At 32.1% G+C, this 27,422-nt stretch overlaps 1 protein-coding gene across 7 annotated transcripts in view; it reads left to right on the top strand.

Moving 5' to 3' along the window:
• The window catches only part of DPYD (dihydropyrimidine dehydrogenase), an 843,317-nt gene that overhangs the window by 205,194 nt on the left and 610,701 nt on the right, over nt 1-27,422 (top strand). For 6 of the 7 annotated variants that reach the window (XM_047448077.1, XM_017000507.2, XM_005270562.3 and 3 more), the window contains 2 exons: nt 16,319-16,515; nt 24,068-24,149. In XM_047448077.1, coding sequence (XP_047304033.1) covers nt 16,319-16,515; nt 24,068-24,149 — 279 coding nt within the window. Of the gene's footprint in view, nt 1-16,318; nt 16,516-24,067; nt 24,150-27,422 lie in introns of those variants that run through there. The other variant, XR_001737014.2, reaches the window with a different exon arrangement.

The following is a 27,422-nucleotide window of genomic DNA, read 5'->3' as shown; positions in this document are numbered from 1 at the left end:
TTGCAGGTGTGCTCTGAAATAATGTATTTCTGTGATAAATTTCATCTATCAAATAGAAGAGTGGAGACAGAAATATTAAGTGCAAGCCCCGTATTAAAAACAGTCATCAAAAAGATGAGTATTTGTGCATAAACTGAAAAGTGAGGTTGGAAATACTCTAGCTGTGTATTATGTTGATTGCTTTATAAGTAAGATGATCAAATGACCGAGATAGGTTAGATAATGATCAGGACATTATTAATAATCAGTCCAGTACAGCAGGAGTAAACTAACACCACCCCAGGCAAACTGGCTTATGTGAATACCCAGTGTAGTAAGAGCCCACTAGGTAAGGATTCAGTTAATCAAACTAACATTGATTGGGCATTGATCAGCACTGTGTGTTGTTGTAGACTGCTTCTTTACTACAAGTCCTAGGGAACATTGTAGTTTCTCAGGAAATAAAGCCAACAATTGAAATAATGTAGTAAATGTAATGAGACATATAGGTTTACATTGGCATCCTTGGACTTATTGTCCAATCTTCATTAATTTTTGTCACATGGTTTTGGAGGTGATTAGACCTTAGTGCAAAGAAAAGTATCAGGCAAGGAGAAAATGCAGTTATATTGTACTTTGCATAGTGCTTCAGTGCATTTTTGTAATATCTCACTCAAAAATGCTGATAAACAACGCTTGAGGGCATGCAAACCAGGTAATTTTTTTCCCATTTTGGACATAAGGAAACTAAGAATCAAAGTGATTACAAAATCACAGCTAATGTTAAATAAACTCCCAGTGTCCTGCACAATGTTGAGTACTTTATTTAGAGCTTGATTAATCCTCAGAATAACTCTCCAAATAATGTTATTATTTCCATTTTACATATGAGTAACAGGAAACTCCAGGAAATTAATTAACTTCCACAACCTCACATGTAGTGAGAGGCAAATCTGGAATACAAAGCTAGTGGTTTAATTTTCATTATTTCACAAACTCTTACTTGCCCCAGGTAATGTTACTAGTCAAAGACAGAGGCGCTCAATGTAAACCCTGGTTTTCTGGCTGTAAGGCCACAGCAGTATCTGTTGCATCTTCTAGGCTAGCCAAATATACTTGGTCACCATACCTCACAAGTCCTTGTTTTTCTGTTAGATATGAAGCTACTACATTGAAATAGGTTGGGTAAGACCAACACATACGGCTTAGTTGTTTTTTTTTTTTTTTTTTTGTCTTTTCTTTTTTAACTTCTGTAGCCAGGAATGAATCTTAAGTTTTATGGGGCTTCAGATAACAAAATGTTGGGTTCCTTCTTTAGAAATTACATTACAGCACTACTGAAAAATTTAAATACAAGGCCTTAGAAGGGGTCTATATGGGCCAGGCGTGGTGGGTCATGCCTTTAATCCTAGCATTTTGGGAGGCCGAGGCAGGCGGATCACAAGGTCAAATCAAGACCATCTTGGCCAACATGGTAAAACCCCATCTCTACTAAAAATAAAAAAAATTAGCCAGCTGTGGTGGTGTGCACCTTTAGTCCCAGCTACTCAAGAGGCTGAGGCAGGAGAATCACTTGAACCTGGAGGCAGAGGTTGCAATGAGCCGAGATTGCGCCACTACACACCAGCCTGGCGACAGAGCGAGACTCCATCTCAAAAAATAAATAAATAAAAAGGGGGGGTCTATGTGACGAGGAGCCTTGAAGCGTTAAGTGTTTATCTGCAGTTTTATTTTATTTTGGAATGCCTAAGTATGATTTTGTGAAAGCTGGTATACAAATAAATTTAGGAATAAACCTAGCACATTTATGATACAGTTTGACAAACTGATCAATAAAATCTATCAGTTCATTTTGTAATCTATAACTAAGATAAATTATCATGATAATGAAAAATTACTAATATATATAGCTAATAACTTTTTGCAGGTCATTTATAAATAGGATATAGATTAAACTATATTTGTTAGATTAATGATATATCACACTTGCCCTATTATCCCAAAGTTTTATCACTTTAAATGGGATTTCTCTATACTACTTCTATTTAAAATAGTACTATTCAATTATTTGTGAATGTCTTTAACCAATACCCAACCCTCAAACACAAAGGTGAATTATTTCTGAGAGAAGTAAGATATAGATGAAAAATATGCATTAAGCACTAATAAGATAAATATTTTTTACCCTGGTAAAATGTGTCTGTCTGGAATGCAAATACAAGTAACATCTTTGAAGATTTGATTTGTGTCTCTCCTTTTACTCTTAATGCAGTGATTAATAGAAAAGAATAATGTCTTGATAGAATTCACTAAATATCTGACATTCTTCTCCAAAAATCTTTAGAAATCTATTAAAATATTCCTTACTGGCACAATGATTTATAATAGAACTGTGGGGCCAGATGAATTGCTAGATGATTTTTATTACAATATTTTAGTTTGTTTTAAAACTGTATCTTAATATCTAGGACTTAAAAATAAGCTACCGTGATTTGGGGGCAATAACTTTGAAATTTAACGAAATCGCATGGTTAAAATTATTTGCGGTTACTTTTTTCTACATTAGTTTTTAAAAATAAATGTAAATTTATACTATTTCGTTGCCAATTTACAGTTTTAAAGGATTCGTTGGTTTAAGCTTCAACAACTTAAAAATGTATATACTTTCATAAAAATATTTGATGACTCATAATATAGGGTAGTATAAAGCAATATTATTGTATCAACATGAATCACTTGTAAAAGGCATGATGCTGTAAGTTAACATTTAAGCCACCCATTTATCTTCAAATAATGATGATAAGTAAAATTTAATGAAAGTAGAAAAAAAATTAAGAGGTGAACTGAAAAAGAAATATAAATACCTTTTGGGCCAGAAATGGTATAAAAACATGGGGACTAGGTTATTCTCTGCTAACTTCTGCTGGGGAGTGGTCTAAGATAAACTTAAGTGCCAAAAACATCTTGCATGGTAGAGGACTGGACTCAGCTCCACCTCATAGAAAGTTTAATAAAAAATAGGTGCAACTGCTGTACAGAGCTGAGGCTTATAGAAAGCTGCAGAAAAAAGTAGAGAAAGCTGTACAGCAGGTATTGTGGGCATGTGTCTATGGTACAGTGATTTGGTTCTGTGATGCCTCTAATCACCTTGGACTGGAGCCCTGGACTTTAAGAAACTTGGTTCTGCAGTGGGAGAGAGGGATAGGAGTATTGTTGATTGAAGGCCACACACACCTGATACAAAGCCATAGGGGGAGTGCCCCGAAAGAGAATAAAATTCACTCAACGTAAATGAGAAACAAAAAGGTAGAAACTATGTTAGGAAAGATAATCTATTAGTGATAATTTAAAGACTTACCTGATGGTACCTGACTTTATCCTAATGAAACACAAATAATATTATAATCAGGCCTTTAAAATTAATATGTATAAAATAATATCCTAAAAGGAGATAAAATAAAAAAATCAACGGTGAGTTTAATATAAAAAATAGTTGACTGTAAATTTACACTATAATGACAATCTCAATAGAAAAGGTCAGTTTTGGGCTGGATAGAGGCATAAATTGCAGAACTAAAGAAATAAAAAGTAAAAATATGATCTGAGTATTCAACCAGAGCACAATAAAGAGATACGAATAAATGAAAAGTTTAATAGAGAAGTTCAGAAGCTTCTAAGACTCCAATACACATGTAAGGGGAGCTCCTAAAGTAGAGAGACAGAGATTGGCACAGGAGGAGCCTTAAAGCAGTTATGGTGGAAAATTTTCCAGAAGAAAGGAAAGATGAAAGGTCTTCACCTAGACACAGGGTTGTGGTAATATTGTGCAATACTAAGGATAATGAGAATCAGAACTTCAAGATAAAGGGAAAACAAATTACTGGAAAACCAAATGACAATTACTCTGACCTTAGATTTCTCATCTGCATCTACTAAGAGTTATTCTTTAGAAGGAAGGAAACAAATGTGGAAAGAAAGATAAAAGAAACAATGTGTAAAAATATGGTTGTGAATATAATTAAATATTGATCCCAGAGTAATTATAACTTATTTTGAGTTTTAAAAATAAAGATGTAAAAAAAAGTTTTATAATATTGACAAGGACGTGTTTTGGAAGATAAAAATAATAATAAAAAACTCTTAAAAGATGTAATATTCATAAACATTTATACACATGACAACATAAATTTACTCAAAATTTGTAAGGTTTATTTGTATAAAGTTTATTGGATTGATTTAAGAAATCTATACTTTTCTGAGCCTAACATAGAACGAATGCATCATTTTCATGCACTTGCAGAACATTTATCAAAACTGACCATGTACTAAAAAACAGTGACTTATAGTCCCTGACTTACAATGATTCAACTTAGGATTTTTTGACTTTAAAATGGTGTAAAAGTGATGCACATTTAGTAGAAAACTTACTTCAAATACTCATTCACCTACTTTATTTTTAACTTTCAGTACTGTATGCGATAAATTACATGAAATATTCAGTACTTTATCTTATAACAGGCTTTGTGGTAGATTATTTTGCCTATCTGTGGGCTAATGTAAGTGTCCTGAGCATATGATTTTGGATAAGTTTCTTATAACTAAACTATAAACACTTAACGTTTTCATCTATATTTGGTCAGTTTTAACCACTCTATTCAATTGGTTTATCAAATATCCAATATAACCTTTGTTTAGTCATAATAACACAGACTATAATCTTATGAGTCAGTTCCTTTGTATAGAAAATGAACAATCATACCTAAAGTCGAAGATTTTTAGGATTGGAGATATAAATATTAAGTTCCCCAGAGAGTGCCTTGTAAGGAAAAGGCATTCATCACAAGAAGTTATCACCATTGACTCTAATCTTCACAATAAATTGCTGAAGTAATCATTACTCTTTTAATTTTCAGTGTTGGTATTTAAAAAGGTGAAGTACTGTCTAATATATATATGTTTTTTTTATTGTTGTTTTTAAGGTTTGGCTTAGGTGTCAATTTCTCTTTCAGGTGGGTTTACCTTCTCAAATACTCTGAGAGCAACGTTTGTGAAAATTAACCCTGTTCCAGACAGGCTACATAGTAATATAGTTTATTAAAAATATTTAGGACATGTGAGTGCTCTATTATCCAGGGAGCTAGTTACTGGAGAGTCTATGTTTTTTTTCATACTGGTGTCTAGGACATAGGAGGTACCTAAACAATACCTACCAAATTGAAAAGGAAATTGAATGAAAGAATATTCTGATTTCAGCTAACACAGTATTTTTAACCTGCCAGTTGTTTCTCTCAATGTCTATTTTAATAATATGAAAATTATGGAAAAAAATCTTTGAGAATTACTAATACAGTAATAATTTTGATAAATAAAAATTTGACATTACATGAAGTTTTTATCATTTTTAATACATTTGAAACACAGTACTCACTTTTGGTGTTCCTGGTCTAATTGTTATGAAGAAAACTATTTGTCAAGAAGCCCAAGTATATTTCTTTTCAAAGAATGAATGCAGTGATTAGTATGTACTCAGTATTTCCTTTGACTTGTCTTACAAAAGGAAACAAACAACAAAGAAAATTACATAGAAGCATCTCCTAGAAGGTATGTAATTTCAGGAAACTTACTTTTGGATGCACAAATAGCAATTTCTTCATTCAGGCATTCAAAAGGTAACGAGACATTCATCCCACTAATTAAGTAACTCAAGAAACTGAAACGAGCAAAAGAAAAACTGATGTATTATTTTTATTAAGATTTATCTTAGACCTACACTGATGAAATAACATTCCTTTAGAAATTACCAGAAATTATTTTTATTTGATAATGAAATCAAGGTAAACACTTGCAAGAGTATAATCCTCTTGTGAGGTATGTAGAATACAATCATACTGTTACAATTCATCCTTCAACTAGTAGAGATGTTCTAAAATTTCCAAGAGTATTTTACTTCTCATGACTTCCCTATGGTATATATTTGCTATTGTTTGGTTAATTAGAACAAACAGAGTAATTGAGGAATAATTACAGCTATCAAACATTTATGTTTATTTTCATTATATACTCTTAGCAAGAAGGGTTAAAACAAGCAAGAGTTACCCTCAAATTTGAATTGGTAAATATACTTTTATTTACAATGCTTTGTCTTTTTTCATTTATAGAACACTATATAATGATTAGAAAATTATACTATTTCTGTCTCCAGAAGGTGAGGAGACTTGGGGGAAAATCCTGTGGCTCCTCTCTGCATTGCAATCTTTCCATTTTAAATATCAATATAATCTCTCCCTTTCTTCAAAGTAATGTGAAAATTATGGAGAAAATGCTGGTAAAGTCAATTTGGAGTGGTGAAATACATGCACTTTCTAGATGAATGAAAGATGAGAAATCACAGGATGAATACACAAGAAAATTAATATTAAAAATGTTCCTCAAGAATGTACTATGTACCCACAATATTAAAAAATTTAAAAAGTAAAATTAAAAAAATATATACCATGTACTTACAAAGTAAAAATATTAAAAAGTAAAATTTAAAAAAGGATATTCACTTGCAGATAATTCTTCATTATCACTAAGGTAGAACTGTTTTCCTTGGTGACTTTTACTACTTTGTTTAAGCATATCACTGAAGGCCAGGAATTTTGAAATTCATCAAAATCTTGTTGAGTGCCTATTAAAATAATCTTAAAATAGTCCAAGTGATACAATATTTGTAGGGAAGGGAACACCTTAAAAAGAATACAAATGCAATTTATAAGACAAGAAAAGGAAAGGAAATGTATACAGAGAAGGAAGAAATAAAACTGTCTTTGTTAGCAGGTGGCAGAATTGTCTATGTAGAAAATTCCAAAGAATCAACAGAAAAACTCCTGGAACTAATACACAATTTTGGCAAAAAAGGATATAAGATTAATAAACAAAAGTCAGCCACTTTCCTTTACAATAGCAATAAATGATTAGAATTTGAAATTAAAAGTATACCATTTACATTTGCATCCTTAAAAACGAAATACTTAGATATAAATCTAATGAAATAGGTATAATATGTATATGAGAAAAACTATGAAACTGTGATGAAATAAATAAAAAAAGCTAAATAAATAGAGACATATTCCGGGTTTCCAAATAGAAGACTTAGTATTTTCAAGATGTCAGGTCTTCCCAATTAGATCTATAGATTCAGTACAATCCCAAATCAAAATCTCAGGAAACTATTTTATAGATATTGACAAACTGATTCTAAAGTTTATATAGAGAGGCAAAAGATTAACCAACATAATATAGAACAACAAAGTTGGAGGACTCGGACTACCTGATTTTAAGACTTACTGTAAAGCTGCAGTAATCAAGACAGTGTGATATTGTTAAAATAATAGACAATAGATCACTGGAACAGAATAGAGAGCCCAGAAATAGACACACGTAAATATAGCCAACTTATCTTTGACAAAAGAGCAAAGGCAATATAATGGAGAAGGGATAGTCCTTTCAACGAATGATATTTATACCACCCTACTTCCATATGTAAAAAAGTGAATCTAGAAACAAACCTTACACCCATTAAAAATTAATTAAAGATGGATCATAAACCTCAATGTAAAATACAAAACTACAGAACTCTTTGAAGATAACATGGGAGACCATGTAGATGACCTTCGGTTAGACAATGACTTTTTAGGTACAAAATCAAAGGCAAGATTTATAAAATAAATTATTGATAAGATAGACTTCATCAAATATAAAAAATTCTGAGCTGGGTGTGGTGGCATGTACCTGTAGTCCTGGCTACTCAGAAGGCTGAGGGAGGTTTGCTTGAATGCAGGAGTTTGAGACCAGCCTGGGGAGCATAGTGAGACTCTCATCTCAAAACAAACACAGAAACAAAATTAAAACTTCTACTCTGCAGGAAACTGTCTTGAAAGAAAATGAAAAGACAAGCCACAGGCTGGGAGAAAATATTTGCAAAAGACATACTTCATAAAGAACTGTTATGCAAAATGTCCAAAAGTCTCTTACAACCCAACAATATGAAAACAACCCATTTAAAAAATGATACAAAGACCTTAGCAGATATCTCACCAAGAAAGATATACAGATGGAAAATAAGCATCTGAATAGATGCCTCATATGTATCATCAGGGAAATGCAACATGAAACAACAACGGGATACCACTATACTATTAGAATGCTTAGTCTGCTCAGTTTGCTACAACAAAATACCATAAACTGGATGGCTTATAAACAACAAAAATTATTTCTCTTGGTTCTGGATGCTGGGAATTCCCATGGATGAAATTGGAAATCATCATTCTCAGTAAACTATCGCAAGAACAAAAAACCAAACACCGCATATTCTCACTCATAGGTGGGAATTGAACAATGAGATCACATGGACACAGGAAGGGGAATATCACACTCTGGGGACTGTTGTGGGGTGGGGGGAGGGGGGAGGGATAGCACTGGGAGATATACCTAATGCTAGATGACGAGTTAGTGGGTGCAGCGCACCAGCACGGCACATGTATACGTATGTAACTGACCTGCACAATGTGCACATGTACCCTAAAACTTAAAGTATAATAAAAAAAATATATGCTCATAAGCTGCTTTCTGGTCATAGGTAAAGGCTTTTTACTGTGCCTGTCTTACATGTGACAGGGGCAAGGTATTTCTCCTGGGGTTGTTTTTAAGGGAACTAATCTAATTGAGGAGGGCTCCTCATGACCTAATCACCTCCTAAGTCATGACCTAATGACTTTTTAAAAACCCCACCTTTCTAACATTTGTGGTTAGTTTTCAACATACGAATTGAATGAAATGGGGGCGTAGACACAAACATTCAGAGGAGACCAAACAGCCAAAATGCAGAACACTGATATCACCAAATGCTGACAGGATTAGGAGAAATAGGAACTTTATTCTTCCCTGGTGGAAATGCAAAATGGTACAGCCAATTTGGAAGACAGTTTGACAGTATCTTGCAAAATTAAACATACTCTTATCATATGATCTGGCAATTTACCCCAAAGAGTTGAAAACTTACGTTAACATGCAAACCTGCACATGGATATTTATAGCAGCTTTATTCATAATCACCAAAATTTTTGAGATATCCTTCAGTAAGTGGATGCATAAATAAACTATGGTACATACAGATATTGCAATATTATTCAGGATTAAAAAGAGAGGAGCTATCAAGCCATGGAGAGACACAGAGAAAACTTAAATATATGTTACTAAATGAAAGAAGCCAATCTGAAAAGGCTGTATATTGTATGATTTCAACTGTATGGCATTCTAGAAAAGGCAAAACTATGGAGGCACTAAAAAGACCAGTGATTGCTGGGGAGAAGGTGAGAGAGGGATGCATATGGAGATTAAGAAGATTTTTAGGACAGTGAAAGAAACTATTGTGTATGATGCTGTAGTCCTATGATGCTATTTTCATAATAAATTTGTGCAAACCCATTGAAGGTGCACCAGTTGTAATAAATGTACTCAAATGTACCACTATGGAGAGGATGTTGATAATAGGGAGGCAGTTCTCTTAATGCACCAACTACCTTAGTTCTCGGGTGGCAGGATAGCATGGTGGGAAACCAGATGATGTAGTTCAGTGTTTTTTAAATGCTTCATGAACAATTCTTGGTTTGTAAAGTTAATTTATTAATTATAATAACCAGCTATTTTTGTTAGTAGAGTGGCTAGAATATATCAAAATCTATTTTATCAGAATGTATGAATTTAATATATTAAAATATAACATATTCTAAGTGGGTTAGGAATGACAAATTCATATAATTTTTTCAGTTATACATTTCTTATTGAAAAATTAGAGAAATATAGTGAATTTTTTAGCGATTACTGTGAAAATGTAATCGTTAAAAAACAAATTTACAAGAAAAAAAACCCATCAAAAAGTGGGCGAAGGATATGAACAGACACTTCTCAAAAGAAGACATTTATGCGGCCAAAAAACACATGAAAAAATGCTCATCATCACTGGCCATCAGAGAAATGCAAATCAAAACCACAATGAGATACCATCTCACACCAGTTAGAATGGCGATCATTAAAAAGTCAGGAAACAACAGGTGCTGGAGAAGATGTGGACAAATAGGAACACTTTTACACTGTTGGTGGGACTGTAAACTAGTTCAACCATTGTGGAAGTCGGTGTGGCGATTCCTCAGGGATCTAGAACTGGAAATACCATTTGACCCAGCCATCCCATTACTGGGTATATACCCAAAGGATTATAAATCATGCTGCTATAAAGACACATGCACACGTATGTTTATTGCGGCACTATTCACAATAGCAAAGACTTGGAACCAACCCAAATGTCCAACAATGATAGACTGGATTAAGAAAATGTGGCACATATACACCATGGAATACTATGCAGCCATAAAAAATGATGAGTTCATGTCCTTTGTAGGGACATGGATGAAGCTGAAAACCATCATTTTCAGCAAACTATCGCAAGGACAAAAAAACCAAACACTGCATGTTCTCACTCATAGGTGGGAATTGAACAATGAGAACACATGGACACAGGAAGGGGAACACCACACACCGGGGACTGTTGTTGGTTGGGGGGAGCGGGGAGGGATAGCATTAGGAGATATACCTAATGCTAGATGACGAGTTAATGGGTGCAGCACACCAACATGGCACATGTATACATATGTAACAAACCTGCACGTTGTGCACATGTACCTTAAAACTTAAAGTATAATTTAAAAAAAAAAAGAGTTCAGGCTTTGGAGTCAAGTAGCCTTAAGATAAAATCTTTTGTATGTGAACCTGACCACAGGTTTCTTACCTAGGAAATGGATCTGATAATTGTACCTCCATAAAGGAGGGTTGAAGACTAAATGATAGAGATTTAACATAAAGCCTGGCACATAGGATATATTTCAATAAATATTGGCCACCTTATTATTGTGGGGAAATACATATTAAGTATACTTTTCATTCATCTTTAAATACTTCAGTCACTCTCTTCTGATATTAACAAGTTTATTTCATTTATTACATTGTTTCGGCAGTTGACCCTTCAACTTAAAAATTAAATCATAGAATATTAGTCAGTTGATGGACAACTGACATTTGCTTTAACGAAAAAAAGAGGGGTCTTTCTCACCGAAAGAGCCAAATTATTTTATAATATTTTTGTTACATTATGAAACAATAGGGAACTATATTCTAAGAAAAAATCTCTTAGGAATTTGATACTGTAAGTAACTGGACCTAATAATATCTTTTATGTATAATTTGTTTGTAATTTTATGTTGCACTTCTCTGAAGACTGATGTAGTTTAATAAAAGGAATGAAAAATATTATTTTTGAAAAATATTCTTCGTATTTATGGACATTTTAAATTTTGTAATTTGTTTTAACTAACTTTTGTAAACTTTTATTTTTAAATTTAACAAAATTAAGTTAACCCTCTTTTTTTTAACTTACACAATCTATTCATTGGCAGTTTAAAGTGTTACAATATTAGTTATTTTAATTTACATTTTTCATATAATGCCAACTCTAGATTTATAATTGATTTCAATTTTCATAGTTTCATAATATACTTAAATACAAATCACTACCCCCCATTCACCCACAAAATATTTTTGGAGCTATTTATTTGGCTTTTTATCCATTTGCCCTCATTTTGTCATAATCAGGCTACATTCATGGAAGTATATTGTGTATATATGAAATAATCCATTACTTGTATTTCAGTTAAAAAAGAGTTAGTTGCTGATGTTTTAAAGGGATAGAGGGCCACTTATGCCTTCAGATCTCTATTAAGTTGGAAAGTGTAACTTATGTATTTCAGAATTTAGGGTTGATGGTAGAAGAATATTAGTGGCTAAAAAAACATTGAATGAGCCCTCATGTATTGCCGAGGTGCAATAGTGTGCTGAAGCCAGCCAGGACCAGCTCTAGTGCTGATTAAATTTTTAGGAATTTTGTAAACAGGTTGTGAAACACAGTAATTTTGAAAAATTAAAGTATATGAACATGTAGTCATAAAAATCATATTAAAAATAACTATAACAAATACTACAAACTCACTGCCTCTAAATTATTTATTTCCCATTAACTATGCTCATGAGATTATTTATATCTATTGCATTATATGTTTGAAATTTTAATTTTTGCAGTGATGGATGTGTTCGATGTATTATCCACTAGCCACATGTAGTTATTGAGCACTTGAAATATAATTAGTGCTACTGAGGTCTTTGCATTTTTAATTTTATTTAATTTTAATTTTAATTTGAACTTAATCAAATGTGGCTAGTGGATTCCGTCTTGGACACTATGAGTTTAGATACATTCTGTCTCATGGAATTTGAACACTAGGTGAAATGAGAAGTAGATAACATTTGCTATATGGGCAGGCAGTTTCCTAAAGCACTTTCCACATATAATTAGCTCATTAAATCCTCAAAGCATCTCTATGAAATATATTTTATTAATCCCACCTTATTAAGGAGACTGAGGCATAGAAATGTTAAAGGACTTGTTCAATTCTATACATCATGAGAATGATGGAAGTCAAGACTCAACCCCAAGAGTCTCGTTTCAATGCCATACTTCTAAAAATATACCATCTGTTGTGCTGAAATTCACAAAAATGTGGTTCAATTATTTACTTCCTTAAAAATTGCATCAAGGTTAATCCAAACTCCTGTTAAACTCGGGGAAAACCTAGTGCAATAAAAAGTTGTAAAGAAAAAATTCCAGAACAGAGCAGGCAAAGGGATACCAATTGATAGATTAGTGTATTGAGCCAAGCAATGTAATGAGTATGTATTGAACAACTCTTAAGCTGCAGTGCACGGGGTTGAGCAAATCGGGCTAACAATTTACATTCTAGTATGTGCACATATGCTATGTGTACTGAGGAGTGTGCTTGCTTTCATTTCTTCAAACACTTTTTAAGAGTCTTTAACTCTGTGTTGGGTACTTAATAGGGATTCTGTAAACATTTTTTAAAATAATTCAATGTTTGCATCTCATAATTTTTTTAAAAGAAGGCTTAAATTTTTATTCAAAAATATTAAAATATTTTAGGTGAAAATACATACATATTGTGTATTATTTGGTAATTGCTACTTTATTATTTGCATGCCATTAGCTAGAATTTGTTCAGATATGCTAGGCGTTTCAGAACTAACCTATTTCTTGCTTATGAGTGAATGCTGAGCACAAATTATATTCCATTTGGTTATGACACTGTAACTTCATATTATAATGAATGCTGTAGCCTTAGTACATTTAAATCTGCTTCCATTGTAAAAGATGTCAGCAATAAATGATACTTTTAAATACATCATAAATGTCTTCATTTAAGATTTGTTAAAACACAATGTTATTTGTAAATGTTAGCAGATTTTAACATGGGAAAGTTAAATATTTAATTATTAGTTCACAAAGCTAAAATTATTCAACTAAATATGAAAGAAATTAGCATTTATTTAATCCCTAAATAAAATTAGCTATATCTCTGTTCCCTGATCAGAGATCCTTGATCACGTTAAACATATGTTTTAAGTATCTCTTTATGAAAAGTATGTGAAATCTTTCTTTGGGGAAATATAAAAAATATATTTTAACTATATTTTAATTAATGATCTAATAAAATATATATTTATGAAAAGTATGTGAAACCTTTCTTTGGGGAAATATAAAATATATTTTAACTACATTTTAATTAATGATCATATAAAACTACCAGAATTTAGTTCCTTGTTCACATTGCTTAGAAAGGAATAAAAGATAACAGTATATGTTGATTCAAAAACAATATTTAAGAAAATCTGTACTGTTTGGATAGCACAGGGAAGAGCAGGAACACATATTAATAATTTGTAAATTATACAAATTGTAGCTGGGAATAAGAAATTATTTTATTACCAATTTAAACTCATTAGTTAACATATATTCCCCCTTATGTATAAAAACACTGAATATTAAAAGGTGAATTCAAAGATGTTGTCTTCCCTTAAATATTTTATGGTCTAAGAGAGGAAACAGATAAGTAAACCAGTAAAAGTGACAAAGTATTAGAATGAAAATGACAAAATATTATGAGACCATTTATGAGGACCTTTCATCTCATGCTTAGAAATTGACCCTATAATACTTGTTGATAATACCCTCTTCAATTTTTTAAAATAAGATTGTTTGGATGTTCCTTATGTGTTTTGACTTTATTTACAATAGTTTGTGGTATATGTGGGATGAGGTTAAGAAAATGTAAAGTCCTGTCACCTTTATTCCTCATTCTTAAGAAAACTTACATTTATATCTATTGATCTCTGTCTGGGTTTCCAGGAGAGAAAGTTACTGCTTTGACCTATTAAATGCAAGCAACTGTGTGAGCCAATCCATTGGATAGCATAAATAACTTACCTATAATATGGATTTATTCATTGGCCACTTCTATTGGTAGTCAAGTTTTCATGAGAGTAGAATAATGAGATTATAGTGATTTATTTATTTTACTTTTAGTTCTATCAATTTTGCTTTATATATTTAAAATTGTATTTTAAAATCTTGTTGAAAGATTGACCATTTCCTTGCTATGAAATGTTCTTTAAGTTTAGTAATGCATCTTGCCTTAAAGTGTAATATTTCTAATATTGGTATATATATATTTCATATATATATATAATATATATATGTACCAGCTTTCTTTTGGTTAGTGTTTGCTTTGTATAACTTTTTCTAGTCTTTAACTTTACACTTATCTATCTGTGCTCTTATATTTAAGGCATTTATCTTCCATAACTTTTGTCTTTTAATTGGAATTTTAGTCCATTTACATTTAATATAATTTCTCATGTTGACATTTATATTTACCATCTTACCATTTGTTTCTTTGTTTCCTACCCTCTACCACCTATTTATAATAATTTTAATTAATACATTTTAATAATGTGTTTTTAAAATCCCACTCCCTCCTTCCACATTAGCTAGTTATTTTTTTTGCTAAATATGTTTTACTAAATGTACTTAGTAAATTTAATTTTTTATTTTTAACAAATTCCAGCTTTTAATGAAGTTTACATTCTTCTTACATATTTTTGAACATATCAATCATAGTTATTCTAAAATTTATTTTTGATAACCACACTTACGAGATTATGTATGTATCTCTTTCAATTTTTTTAGGTTTATTTTTCTTGCAGGCTTGGACTTTTAAAAATAAAAACCCAGGCATTTTATAAAAAATTTGTAGAAACTGTGGTTGACTTATTATTCACAGAAAGTGCATTCTATCGTTTGGTACATAGATAACAGTGAGGACTGATCACTGTCATTTAAATCCAGGGCTGAGTTGACTCAAGGCTAGGTTGGCTATTTACCCCTCATTTGCCCTACTTGTAGAGTGTAGCCCTCCAGAAGCTTCAGCCGTACACTGAGGTGTGTACTAGGGCTCTTTCTTATTTAGTCACTCCAGTTTTTGTTTTTCCTGGACCATAGGGTTTTCTGTTTAGATCTTTAGGTTTTTGTCATATGCACTTTAAGAATTAATCTCACTCTTCTGTACTTTATTTTGCTCTAGGTTAATGGCCTCCTACATTTCCAAAACTCTGTGTCTCTCTGGTTTCAAAAGACTGCCAACATCTCTTTTCTGAGCTGTGGTTCTCTTCAAGATGCTTAGCCTTCCTCCCTTTGGTAAGAAGTCGCAAATCCCTCAGGGGAAAAGTGACTTCTGGTCACTTAACTTTGTTCTTACTTTCCTCTGAGATGTTAGCCCTTCCAAGATGCCTGCGTCAGTAGTTCTTGAATGTTTCAACTATTTTTTTAAATCATTATTCTCCCAAAGTTAATCTGTCATAATCAAAAGCAGAATTCAAGAAATTATTTATTAAATGTCTACCGTGTGCCATCGCAATGCTAACTCCTATAATGCAAGGGTAATGTGTTTACATGTGACATGTTTTCTGATTCAGGGAACTAACATTCATTCTACTGACTGACATCATAACACATACCACAGATGGTTATGTTAGAGACATACAGATTATGCTGTAGGAGCTTAGAGGAGAGGCACTTAATGTACCCTCTAGGTGGGAGTAGGGAATGTGCCCCATGAGTGTTTCCTAGAGGAGGCATGACTCTAGAAAGGAAAGACTGAAAGTTAGCCATAACTCCTCATCTACTTGACACAATAAAAGTTGTAAGTATACCATATTAATACTGAAAATGTACTGCTCATTGCTATTTAAAACAAGAATTCGTTTGAAACATTAAAAATATGTTTGAGGATGTAAGCTAGTTTCAAAATTTTAACCATGACAATTGATTTCCCCGTAGGTATTCAAAGCAATGAGTATCCCACAGATCAGAAATCCTTCGCTGCCTCCCCCAGAAAAAATGTCTGAAGCCTATTCTGCAAAGATTGCTCTTTTTGGTGCTGGGCCTGCAAGTATAAGTTGTGCTTCCTTTTTGGCTCGATTGGGGTACTCTGACATCACTATATTTGAAAAACAAGAATATGTTGGTGGTTTAAGGTAATGCCTACATTTATTTCATGTTTATAGTGTCAGAAATGATGGAGCAAAACAATTATGAATATTGTTGGTTCATAATCATATAGGAACTTCAGGCTCACAGATGGTATTTTAAATGTTCTTTTTCCAAATGTTCAAGTTTTGATTACATTATTCACTTTAAAATTTGCAGTTGGCTTGAAGCAATATTTATTTAAAAAATTTTCTCTCTAGTTCTGTGAATTTAAGAGAAATCTCTGCAAATTATTTTTTGATTATAAGAACCAATCATATGAAAAATGATTTTAGCCCTGTGAATATTTCTTTTAATGGAGATATAACTGAAAATCCTGGATATTAGTGATGTGGAAAACCTAGATCCATGGAATATTGGACTATTCATTGTGTTGTCTACATAGATATGTTGTCTTACATATTTTCAGTTTAAAATTTCTTAAGTCTTACTTTTGATTAAAATTTTGTCAGCATGTACTAGAAATGTATTTAAATATACATTTTTAAAATCACATGATCATATTATTCCCATGAAAATTTATACATGGAAATGGGAATATATATTGAAAATAAACAGAACTCTATACGGGACACATATTTCATTATCATAAAGAAATAAAATTTATTACAATTAGGGAATAGATATTGCTTAAAACATTTTATACAAAATAAAGAATTTGGATGGTAACTGAATAATATTACTCAATTGATTTTTATTTTCTCTATGTATATTATCAAAAAAATCATGGATTACAAAATGTATCCATTTGGAATATCTGTTTCTATGCTTAACATTTAAATTTGTTGTGGCTACTGCCCTATGTGTAACAAATAAATTAATCATACCCAATAATCACAGAGGATAAATTTAATCAAATTTGTTACTAAAATTTGTGAAGTTTCTTATGTTTTTTGGCACCAGTGAATATATGTTAATAAATGTATAAATTTCAATATTACTCAAACAACAATATGCTAAGCCCAAGATAATATAAAATTATCAATTATCAATTATTTGTATCATTGATATAAATATGTTGATATATTTATTAACATAAATATTGATGTATAAGCTATCATTAATATAATCTTATTTGACTGAATCATCAAGCAAAAATATCACATTTTAGGAAGACCCTTTAGTGTGGGCATGAAACATAAATAACCTGATTGTTAAGAAATAATTATTCTTCTGTACTGATGTTCCACTACTATGAATTCCAAGAGATTACATGTATTTTATGAATTTATTTTTCTGGAAAGTAAAATGTCCTATATATTATTTCTCTGGAAAGATTTAGAATATCATTTTAATGGTATTTACCACAGCTTTATTAATTAGAAAAAACATAATCTATTAACAATATATGTATAAGCATTGTATGTTGTTTTCAGTTATACACATCAGTGAATATCTGAGTCAATTTTTAAAATATGAACTTAATTGTGTACCCTGGTAAACTAGGAAAAATCTGTTTGCCACTTGATTGCATTTTCACAAAAGGCCTAAAATGGAACCAACCCTATTTGTAACTTACTATGTATTGCCAATTTTGGTAGATTACTGTTGTTAGCCTATCTCTTTTTTAACTCAAATGCAGGATAGGCATTTGTAATTCATATAAATTAGTACTAAACTTGTTTTTTTTAAATTTATTTGCTGAACATTTTTTTAGTGAGACAGAGTTCTCTGGATCCAGACCAAACATGGTGGTTTTTCTTTTAAAGTTGTTAAATTCTTTCTTTTGCCTTTGAATCTTTTCAGTATGTAGAGACAATATGAAATATTTAATCAATCTCCTTTGTACTGTCCCATGGTACAGGCATTCTGTGTCACTGTTACAGGATTATAAAAACTGATGCTGGAATTTAGCCGGAATTATAGCCACAAAACTTTCCTGTTACTTTATTTTCTACTTACGGCTGCCTCTCATTCTCTTGTATCTTGAAAGTGGCTAAAAAAGATTAAATTAGCTTTGTATTTGAAATCAATTGCTTAAAGAGGTAATGTCAAGTTTTATCTTTCCTTCTCCTTTGCATCCAAACAGATTCTTTTATCTCTGGTGAATTAGTATCACAACCACTTTTTAAGAAATCACTGGAGTCAGTGAAAAATATCTAGGATTTAATCTCCATTGCATTGAACACATCAATTATTTTTAATGTTGCAACAAATTTATAAAATAATCAGTAGTTTTGCTTTCCTCTAACAGTGGCTTCTGTTTTTAGGACACGAGTTTAACAGGGTTAAAAGGGCTTGATATTATAACAAAGATAAACAAAATAGTGCTAATAGATTTTCAAGAATGTTTGTACATATATACATTCTGATTTTTCTCTTATAAATTAATATATAAGGATTATGATGTTATTGTTAGGATAGTGAGGCCAATGCTGCCCTTTGCTTTACCTCTTTCAAATTTTATATTGTTTTCATTAGGCCTATTGTTTTTCTTGTTGATTGACAATAAAGAGAAATGAGGTCTAGGTGAACTAGTTATAGCAATAGGAAATATTTTGAGAATGTGTGATGTATTACAAATTTAAGTCTATTATCTCTATAGTAATAAACTGAAGCATACCTCTGTCAGAGTATGAGAATTGTGCTTTAAAAAGAACGGAAAGTTGTTATAGATATATTTCATCACATGAAAGAAACATGAAAATAGAAGAAAGATTTTTTTCATGTTGTCTGACTTTCCACTGACTATACTAAAGGACTTACGATTACAAGAAATTTTTTTTTTTCAAAGCCTTAGATTGTTACAGGAGCACAGATAGAAGAAAAGTTTGTTTTCCTAAGCACAACAAACTTGGAAAATAATCATTCCTATTAAATTCTGTCTTCTGTCCTTTTATCTCCTTTCTCACCATGCAGTCTTCAGAATAATCTCATTTACTCTCATGGTTTCAATTATCACCTACATGCAAATTTCTTAAAAATCCATATCTGCCCTGACCTCTTTCTCTATTCTAAGCAACAGATTTATACATTCAAATCCTAGACATCTCCGTATAAACTTCATATCAATGATCAATGTTGCTTCTCTTCCTGAGTTTACCATCTCAGAGGATGGCATCACCAAAATGGGGATTATCTGGGCTACTCTTTAATATCCTGGCAATTCCACTTTATGAACACTCTAAAAAAATGTCCTCTGATATCCTTTACCTCTCAGTTTCCTTTTTTTTTTCTTTTTTTCTTTTCTTTTTTCTTTCTTTTTTTTTTGAAAGAGTCTGGCTCTGTCACCAAGTCTGGAGTGCAGTGGCGAGATCTTGGCTCACTGCAACCTCCACCTCCGGGATTCAAGTGATTCTTCTGCCTCCGCCTCCCAAGTAGCTGGGACTACAGGCATGCACCACCATGCCTGGCTAATTTTTGTATTTTTAATAAAGATGGGATTTCATCATGTTGGCCAGGCTGGTTTTGAACTCCTGACCTCAAGCGATCTACCCACCTTGGCCTCCCAAAGGGCTGGGATTACAGGCGTGAGCCACTGCGCCCGGCCACCTCTCACTTTCTTTACCACTGCAGTAGCTTCCAAGCAGTTATCTTGGCTTCCTGATTTGTTTTTTCAAATTCATTCTTCCTTTAGTTTCAAATCTGATTCTATCACTCTTCCACTTGAAATCTTTCAACAACTCCTCCTAACCTCAGAGATAAAGGATCTGTCCTGGCATAAAAACCCTTCCACGACCTGATACCTACCTGTATTTTCCCCTTTCTCCTTCCCTCCCTTCCTTCCTTCAGTATATATATATATCGATCACTTAACTATGTGCTGGTCATTATTTCTGGCTCTATTTAGAGCATAAAAGTAAACAAGGCAAAGTGCCTTCTCATGGGCCCTATATTTTAGTCGTGGGGAGACAGACAATAAACGAACAATAAACCAAATATAGAATATGTTAAGTGAGGATAAATGCAAGGAGGAAGTTTTTAAAAAATGATGGATTAGTGGTATACCTAGCATACTAGATACTCAGAATAGATTTTTTTAACATGCTATCCTCTGGTCTATACAATAAGATTGAATAAGAATCACACAATAACCAGTAATAATTATTTTTTAATTTATTCCTGTAAAACAAAAAATGATTAAAACATTATTTTAATGTGAAGGATATAGCTATTTTCAATTTTAAACACAAAAATTCCATGTGATCATACAAAATGACAGAATTGAAGTAATTAATATTGCTTCATGTGCTATCATTTTATCTATTCCAAATCAACTTTTCACATATTGGAATCTGTAGTATCACAAGAGTGGAGGCATATGTCGCCTATGGGGAATTGGAATGAGGAATGCCTGTAGCTGAATCAGCAGTTGCTGATGGCCTCTATTTAACTGTAGTTCTGCAAGTTAACTTTCCTGTAGAACACAATGTTTATTAAAGAGTTGGTAATAAAAATGGGATCATTGAAAGCTTACATATATATTACTAAAACTCAATAGCAACTATGGCTATTGTTTAGAATTTAGACTCACCAGAGAATTTTTTTTATTTTGGCAGAGGACATTGTTTAGGATATTAGTGATATTATTTAGAATTGCTAGCTCATGAAAATAAGACAAAACAGACTCACTTTAGTAAGTTTTATAATGGTTTTTAAATTGTCTAAAAAGAACACACCTTTTTACTTTACTGCCTGCATCTGGGCTTGGTGTGGGGCTGGAAAGGGAATAGTGTGTGATGATGGAGTTTAGGTCCTGAGCAACTCATAAAATGGGGTTGTCTGAGGACCAGTGTTGGGATGCAAGAACCAAAGCTTACTGTTAGGCATGATAAATATGAGTTACCCATTAGACACCCAAGTGAACATAAAAGTCTGGAATTTAAGAAGAAAAATGTGGAAGCCATCATACACTGATGATATTTTAAAGTCCTAAGACATTTCCCCTACCCACTTATCTCATCCCACAATAAGCCTTCCCTCCTTTGAAACACTTGTTCACATTTAGTATTTTACATTTGTCATGTTGTTCTGCTGATGTATGTGTGTATGTGTTTCGTCTATTTGCTGACTTCATCCATTAGTGAATATAAAAACGTCACATTTTTCACAATCAGTAATTTCCACCTACCCCCTACCTACTTGACTGTAACCAAATCTAACATTTCTCAGTATTTCATATTTCTCTGATTTGCTTCAGGAGATGCTGGGAAATGGATTCTCTCACACTTATTCGTTTAACACTGTGCTAAGTGTTGGTGACAATGGTTCCAGAGCAGCATGGGGTTTTAAGCAGAGTTGCTGAACTCCAGCAGCCTGGCTTCCATTTTCTCTGGTGCCTGCATCTGCATTCAAAGTTATACTGCCAAGGGTGGTGGCTGCCCCTTCCTCCTTTCTCAGGTGTCTTCCTGCTAGGTTAGGTGTTCCTTCCTTTATTTTTTTCTGACCAACAGAAAAGTTGTCCCTGCTTTTTATAACATGCCTTTCAGAGTTTTTTTCTTAAGTCAGAACCATTGACTTGCACTCACACCATTTTTTTTCCTTTTATTCCATGTGCTTCTACTTAACATCCCATAAAAATCCAAGAGTAGGCCTGACTCATTGGAAGGTTCTCGGCTTCACAATGTGTCTGGATGTATTTAAGATTCTCATCTTGTTGTAGTTGGTTTATTTGGCTGGAATTCTTTGTTCATAGTCCATTGCTTTTGCTTTCCTGTTCAACCTTTTGAGGATCTGCATCAGTGCCCAGTTTTAGTCCATATTTAATCTCCCTCTCATGCAGCCCCATGTCTATCAAGTCTGTGTGTCTGTTTGTGTCCACATACAGTCCATAGTTGTTAAGAATCTTTCTACTTAGACTTTGAAGGGAAAACCTTCTTGGTGCCCAGAGCATTCTGGCACATTCTTGTTACCTTGAGGTAATGTGGCTGGAGTTCACAAGTTGGCTTAAGAGATTTTTATCCCTGCCCTATGCCTGAATTCATTCTTAAACATCATCTTGTATTCCTAACTAGAGGGAAGCTCCTTTAGTGTACAGCTTTGATTTTATGGTGTTTGATACCTTGCATTTTCTTTTTTGGTTTTTTTTTTTTTTTTTTTTTTTTTTTGAGACGGAGTCTGGCTCTGTCGCCCAGGCTGGAGTGCAGTGGCATGATCTTGGCTCACTGCAAGCTCCACCTCCCGGGTTCACACTATTCTCCTGCCTCAGCCTTCCAAGTAGCTGGGACTACAGGTGCCCGCCACTATGCCTGGCTAATTTTTTTGTATTTTTAGTAGAGACGGGGTTTCACCGTGTTAGCCAGGATGGTCTTGATCTCCTGACCTCGTGATCCGCTGGCCTCGGCCTCCCAAAGTGCTGGAATTACAGGCGTGAGCCACCGCGGATACCTTGCATTTTCTATAGCATTGAGCATGATGTCTTGCTGATTGATATATAAAAATTAATTGCATAATCAAGTTCTTAAGTCATCAAACAATGAAAAGGCTGTACTTTGGGAGATTTTTCAATTGATGATCCAGAAGATTCATCTTCAACAATTATTTATTTTCCAAATTAATCTCTATAATATATAAAATATGATTGCTATTTTATGTATATATACACATTAAAGATATAATGGATATACTTCTCTCATTGTGCGTACCACATTCTAAATGTAATTATCTTTTGTGTATCCTTCCCTGATCAGAAAAAGAACTTATTAACAGTGAGAATTTGGTGAAATTCACCATCAAATCATTGCAGCTTACACTTAGCTGGCACTTCGTAAACACTGTGCCTGGCACTATTCACTTTTAATGAGTAGGTGAATGAATGATTCAGCAAATGAATGAATGAATGGATTGCTGTGTATTCATGGACATACATAGCTTTTTTAATTGTTAACAAAACACTGGAAAGTGTTTTTAGCTTACTTTTAATACTCTATTATACTACTCAAATAATAGTGCCATAGGCCTCATTTTTTTTTTAAATGCAGGCAATAGGCATTAATATACAATAGAATTGTTTTTTAATGACTGAACTTTTGGAATACTCATTGCTTTCACAGAAGACTAAAATGTTCTATAGATCACATGGAACTGATTTTGTAATATTCTAAACAGTATGGTAATACAGTTACACATTTGCATATCAACAAGCTAGAAGTACATTTATAGACTATGTATATGAATGTTAGTGTATATATATATGTGTATACATATATTAAAATCTATATCTCCATCTAGCTTTATTAATAGATTTTAAGATTTTTTATCTTAGGAATTTATAGAATTATTATTAAATAAATCAACCAAATACTTTATTGAACTTAAAAGTATTGAAATTGCTTTTGGCCAGTTTTATATTTATCATTTTCTGTTGCTGTAATTTAGTTATTTTTATATCAGTTTCTACTGTATCTTCACTCCACGTAACATGTTTATATCAATAAGAATGTAGATGTCCTCATGCATATCTTGTGTGATATATAAATATCCTTGGAAGAGATATTTATTTTCTACTAATCCATAAAGACATGTTACCTTTTTTTAAGATTGGTCAAAGATTGGTCATTTTTCTACTGATGCCTGTTTTTCTTTCTCCTTTCTTTTCAGTACTTCTGAAATTCCTCAGTTCCGGCTGCCGTATGATGTAGTGAATTTTGAGATTGAGCTAATGAAGGACCTTGGTGTAAAGGTAAATGAAAAAAACACCTATCTGTGTACTGCTCAAAAAGAAAGGAGTAAGCTCTACACTAAAGATTAACAGCAAATGTCATGCATTTTAGGAAAGAACAATTAAAAGCTACATCAGGCAGAAGCAGAAAGATGCTTCCCCTTGCTTAGGGCATTTGTCTGTCTACTGTCTGAATGCCACTAGCCTGGAAAAGGGCAATCAATAGTTCTCATCTGGCATGCCTGCATGTGATTAATTGTCTGTAAGAAACAAATTCCTAAATTGCTTTAGGGGTTCAGTGCAGCTAATAGAAGGATTTGGTTTCTTTAATCATGTTTTTTCATGCAAGTTGTGTGCACTCTGAAACATTAGTATTTCACAATTTGGAACATAATTTCTTATGGAGATTTATTTTATTTGTTATATTCATCATGTCAGTAGTGTGAATGTGATAATCCTTTCTCAACACAAGCAGTAAATCAGTGGGATAGAAAGCAACAGCTTCGTATTTTTTATTATTTTGTTAAATAAATATTGTGTTATTCTTTTCGAGATGGTTGAAAATTTGACACATCGTTATTTTCAGCATATAGCTTTAAATATTCCTCTTCTTTTCTGTTAAGAGCATTATATTCTAGCTCTTCACTTGAACATATTGCTATTTTTGTTTCAAAAATGTTAATTTTTCATAATAGATATAACACAATAGATTAATAATGTACTGTGATTTACATAATACATGCTGTAAGTATATGCAGAAGATACTTTGAAAAGTGATTAACAAACTACTCATACCTTTTGCATTTACCAGTAAAACTTAAAATGAATCAATAAAAGAGAAAACACTCAAAAAAATATTTTGTGGTTTATATTTATAATTACGTTTTAATTGACAGTGGCCGGGTGATGAAACATTCACACATAATGACTAAACAAGATGTCTGGGAATAAAAACACATAGTATAGATTTGGGCAACTTTATAAAACTTAATGTTCAAAATTACAGTGTTCAAAATAGATAATTTAGAGGTGATTATTTTACAGAAGTACATTCTGAAAAGTTTTTAAATGTCTTTCATTTTGAATACAAGTTCTTCTCTAAATCTCATCAAATATGGAAATGATTATTGAAATTTCCAACTATTAGATTCGGTATTCTGAATTGAAGATGAATGTTCCCAACACAAAGACATGGGAAATGTTTGAGGTGATGAATATCCTAATTATCCTGATTTGATCATTACACTTTCTATGCATGTATCACCCCATAAATATGTAAAATTATTATATATTAATAAAAAATGAAAAAAGAAATTAGGCTTTATTTCTCCATTTATCTTATATAAAATTGCAAAATTGCATTCAGTTTTCACAGGACCAGATATATTGCATAAATTAGAGCATACCCATTACTCTTATTTGAAAACTCATCAAGGTGCAGTAGTAGGCAATATACTGAGTGCCAAGAAATATATCTTAGCTATAGTCATGCCACTTTTTAATTTTGTCAGATATCTTTGGCAAAGTCTATTAATATCTAGAACGTTGTTCAAAATCTGCTCAAATAAAAAGTATGCTACTAATATTTGAACAAAATATAAAAATATTTGTTTACATATGCAAAGAATATCTCAGAAAGATATAAGAATCTGATAGAACAGATTGCCTTTGAGAAGGTGTGGGACAATTTTTTCAACATTTTGTACATTTGAATTTTAAACTGTGAATCTGTTACATTATTGAGGAAAAAAAATGGAACCTAAATTAAAGAGAAAGCTAACAGTACTGTCTTGTCCATCTCTCAAGCTGTTTTAAGATGTGAAGGAAATGATGTTTTCAAATTTGCTTTGTAAACAATAAACTGTATATACAATTCTGAGGAAAGATAGCAGTGAGATTCCTTTTCACTTTGAGGATTTGTATCCTTTGATGAGATACTCTTGCAGCTTTTATGATTTACGAACTTTAGCCATAAGTGGGTACATTTTGACAAAGTGGTCTGTGCTCATTACCTCCTTTTGAAAAGTCATCACGGAGGTTCTTTTTATAATTTGCCTTCTGTTTGTCTCTCTCAACTAATATATATTTTAAAGTCAAAAATAATTTCCTGGCAATGAAATGAACTATTTTTGTGGGTTCATACTGTTTGACTCCCGTGTAGCATATGATGTAAGAGTTCTCTTATATATGTATGTATGTATTTTGACTTTCATGACCTAGCATTATCTTGTTTATTCTTCTACTTTCTCTTTTACTTCCCAAAGAGGTTTATTTCATTTACTCAACAAATAATTGTTCAGAACTTATTTTTGCCAAGTAGTATGCCAGGACTAGAACCATGTAGAGCCATCCTTCTTTTGAACTCCAGTCCTGTATACTTAGTAGTTTAATAAGCGTATTATCATCCAAATAACATAACCTGATTATATCCAGAACCCAGTTCAGTTTCTTTATCTTCACTCCCAACTATCTTTTTTTAGCTGCATTTCCTATTGAATATTTTAATTTCAATTTATCTTATTAGCCAATCAGTCCTTGTTAGTTCTAAGATTAATTTTTTAAAGTCAAATATCATGTTACAAGAGAATAAAGATAATTTTGTTTGTTATTTGTACATTATTCATATTTTTCTTCCACAATTTCAATATCTAGTATGTTAAAAAAAAAAAGAGGTATAATACATGGAATTCTTTTTCTTGTCTCTGAAATGGGATTTTTAATCATATTGAATAAATATTTTTCTAGTCTTACATTAATACATTTTATTAATTTAAAAAGTTAATCAAAAGTGTGTTAAATTTTTCAATTCCCCTTTGTAAATACTTACGTTGAGTTTATATGTTGAATTATACTAATCATTGAATTTCTAAAATTTATCAATTTTGGCATCATGTTTATTTCTGTACATGTAATTCAGATTCAATTGGTTAGTATTTTTAAAATTTTTCTTGTGCATTCATTTATTTATGTAATGGATATTAAAACCAGAAATATCGCAGGGAACAGTCAAATAATGTTGTTACCATTACAAGTTTTAAATGTGCAAAGACTTTTTGTTTTGTTTTGCTTTATTTTTATTTGTTGTTTTGTGAATTTTTGATAATAGAGTTATATTAGCCTTATAAAATTAAACTTCTAAGCATTTTATTATTTTCTCATTGGTAAGAATATTATCTTGAGACATCTTTTTTACTAAATTTGGAAGTTGTCATCTTCTCCAAACCCTCTTATGAAATAGAACTATGACCATTTTTCTTCATATCGTCTATAAGTTTTTTCCACTGATTTTATTCT

Source organism: Homo sapiens, chromosome 1, assembly GCF_000001405.40.
Source record: "Homo sapiens chromosome 1, GRCh38.p14 Primary Assembly".
Taxonomy (NCBI): Eukaryota; Metazoa; Chordata; class Mammalia; order Primates; family Hominidae; genus Homo; species Homo sapiens.
Note: the sequence above shows the minus strand (reverse complement) of the source record. Positions and strands in the feature narration are given on the sequence as shown.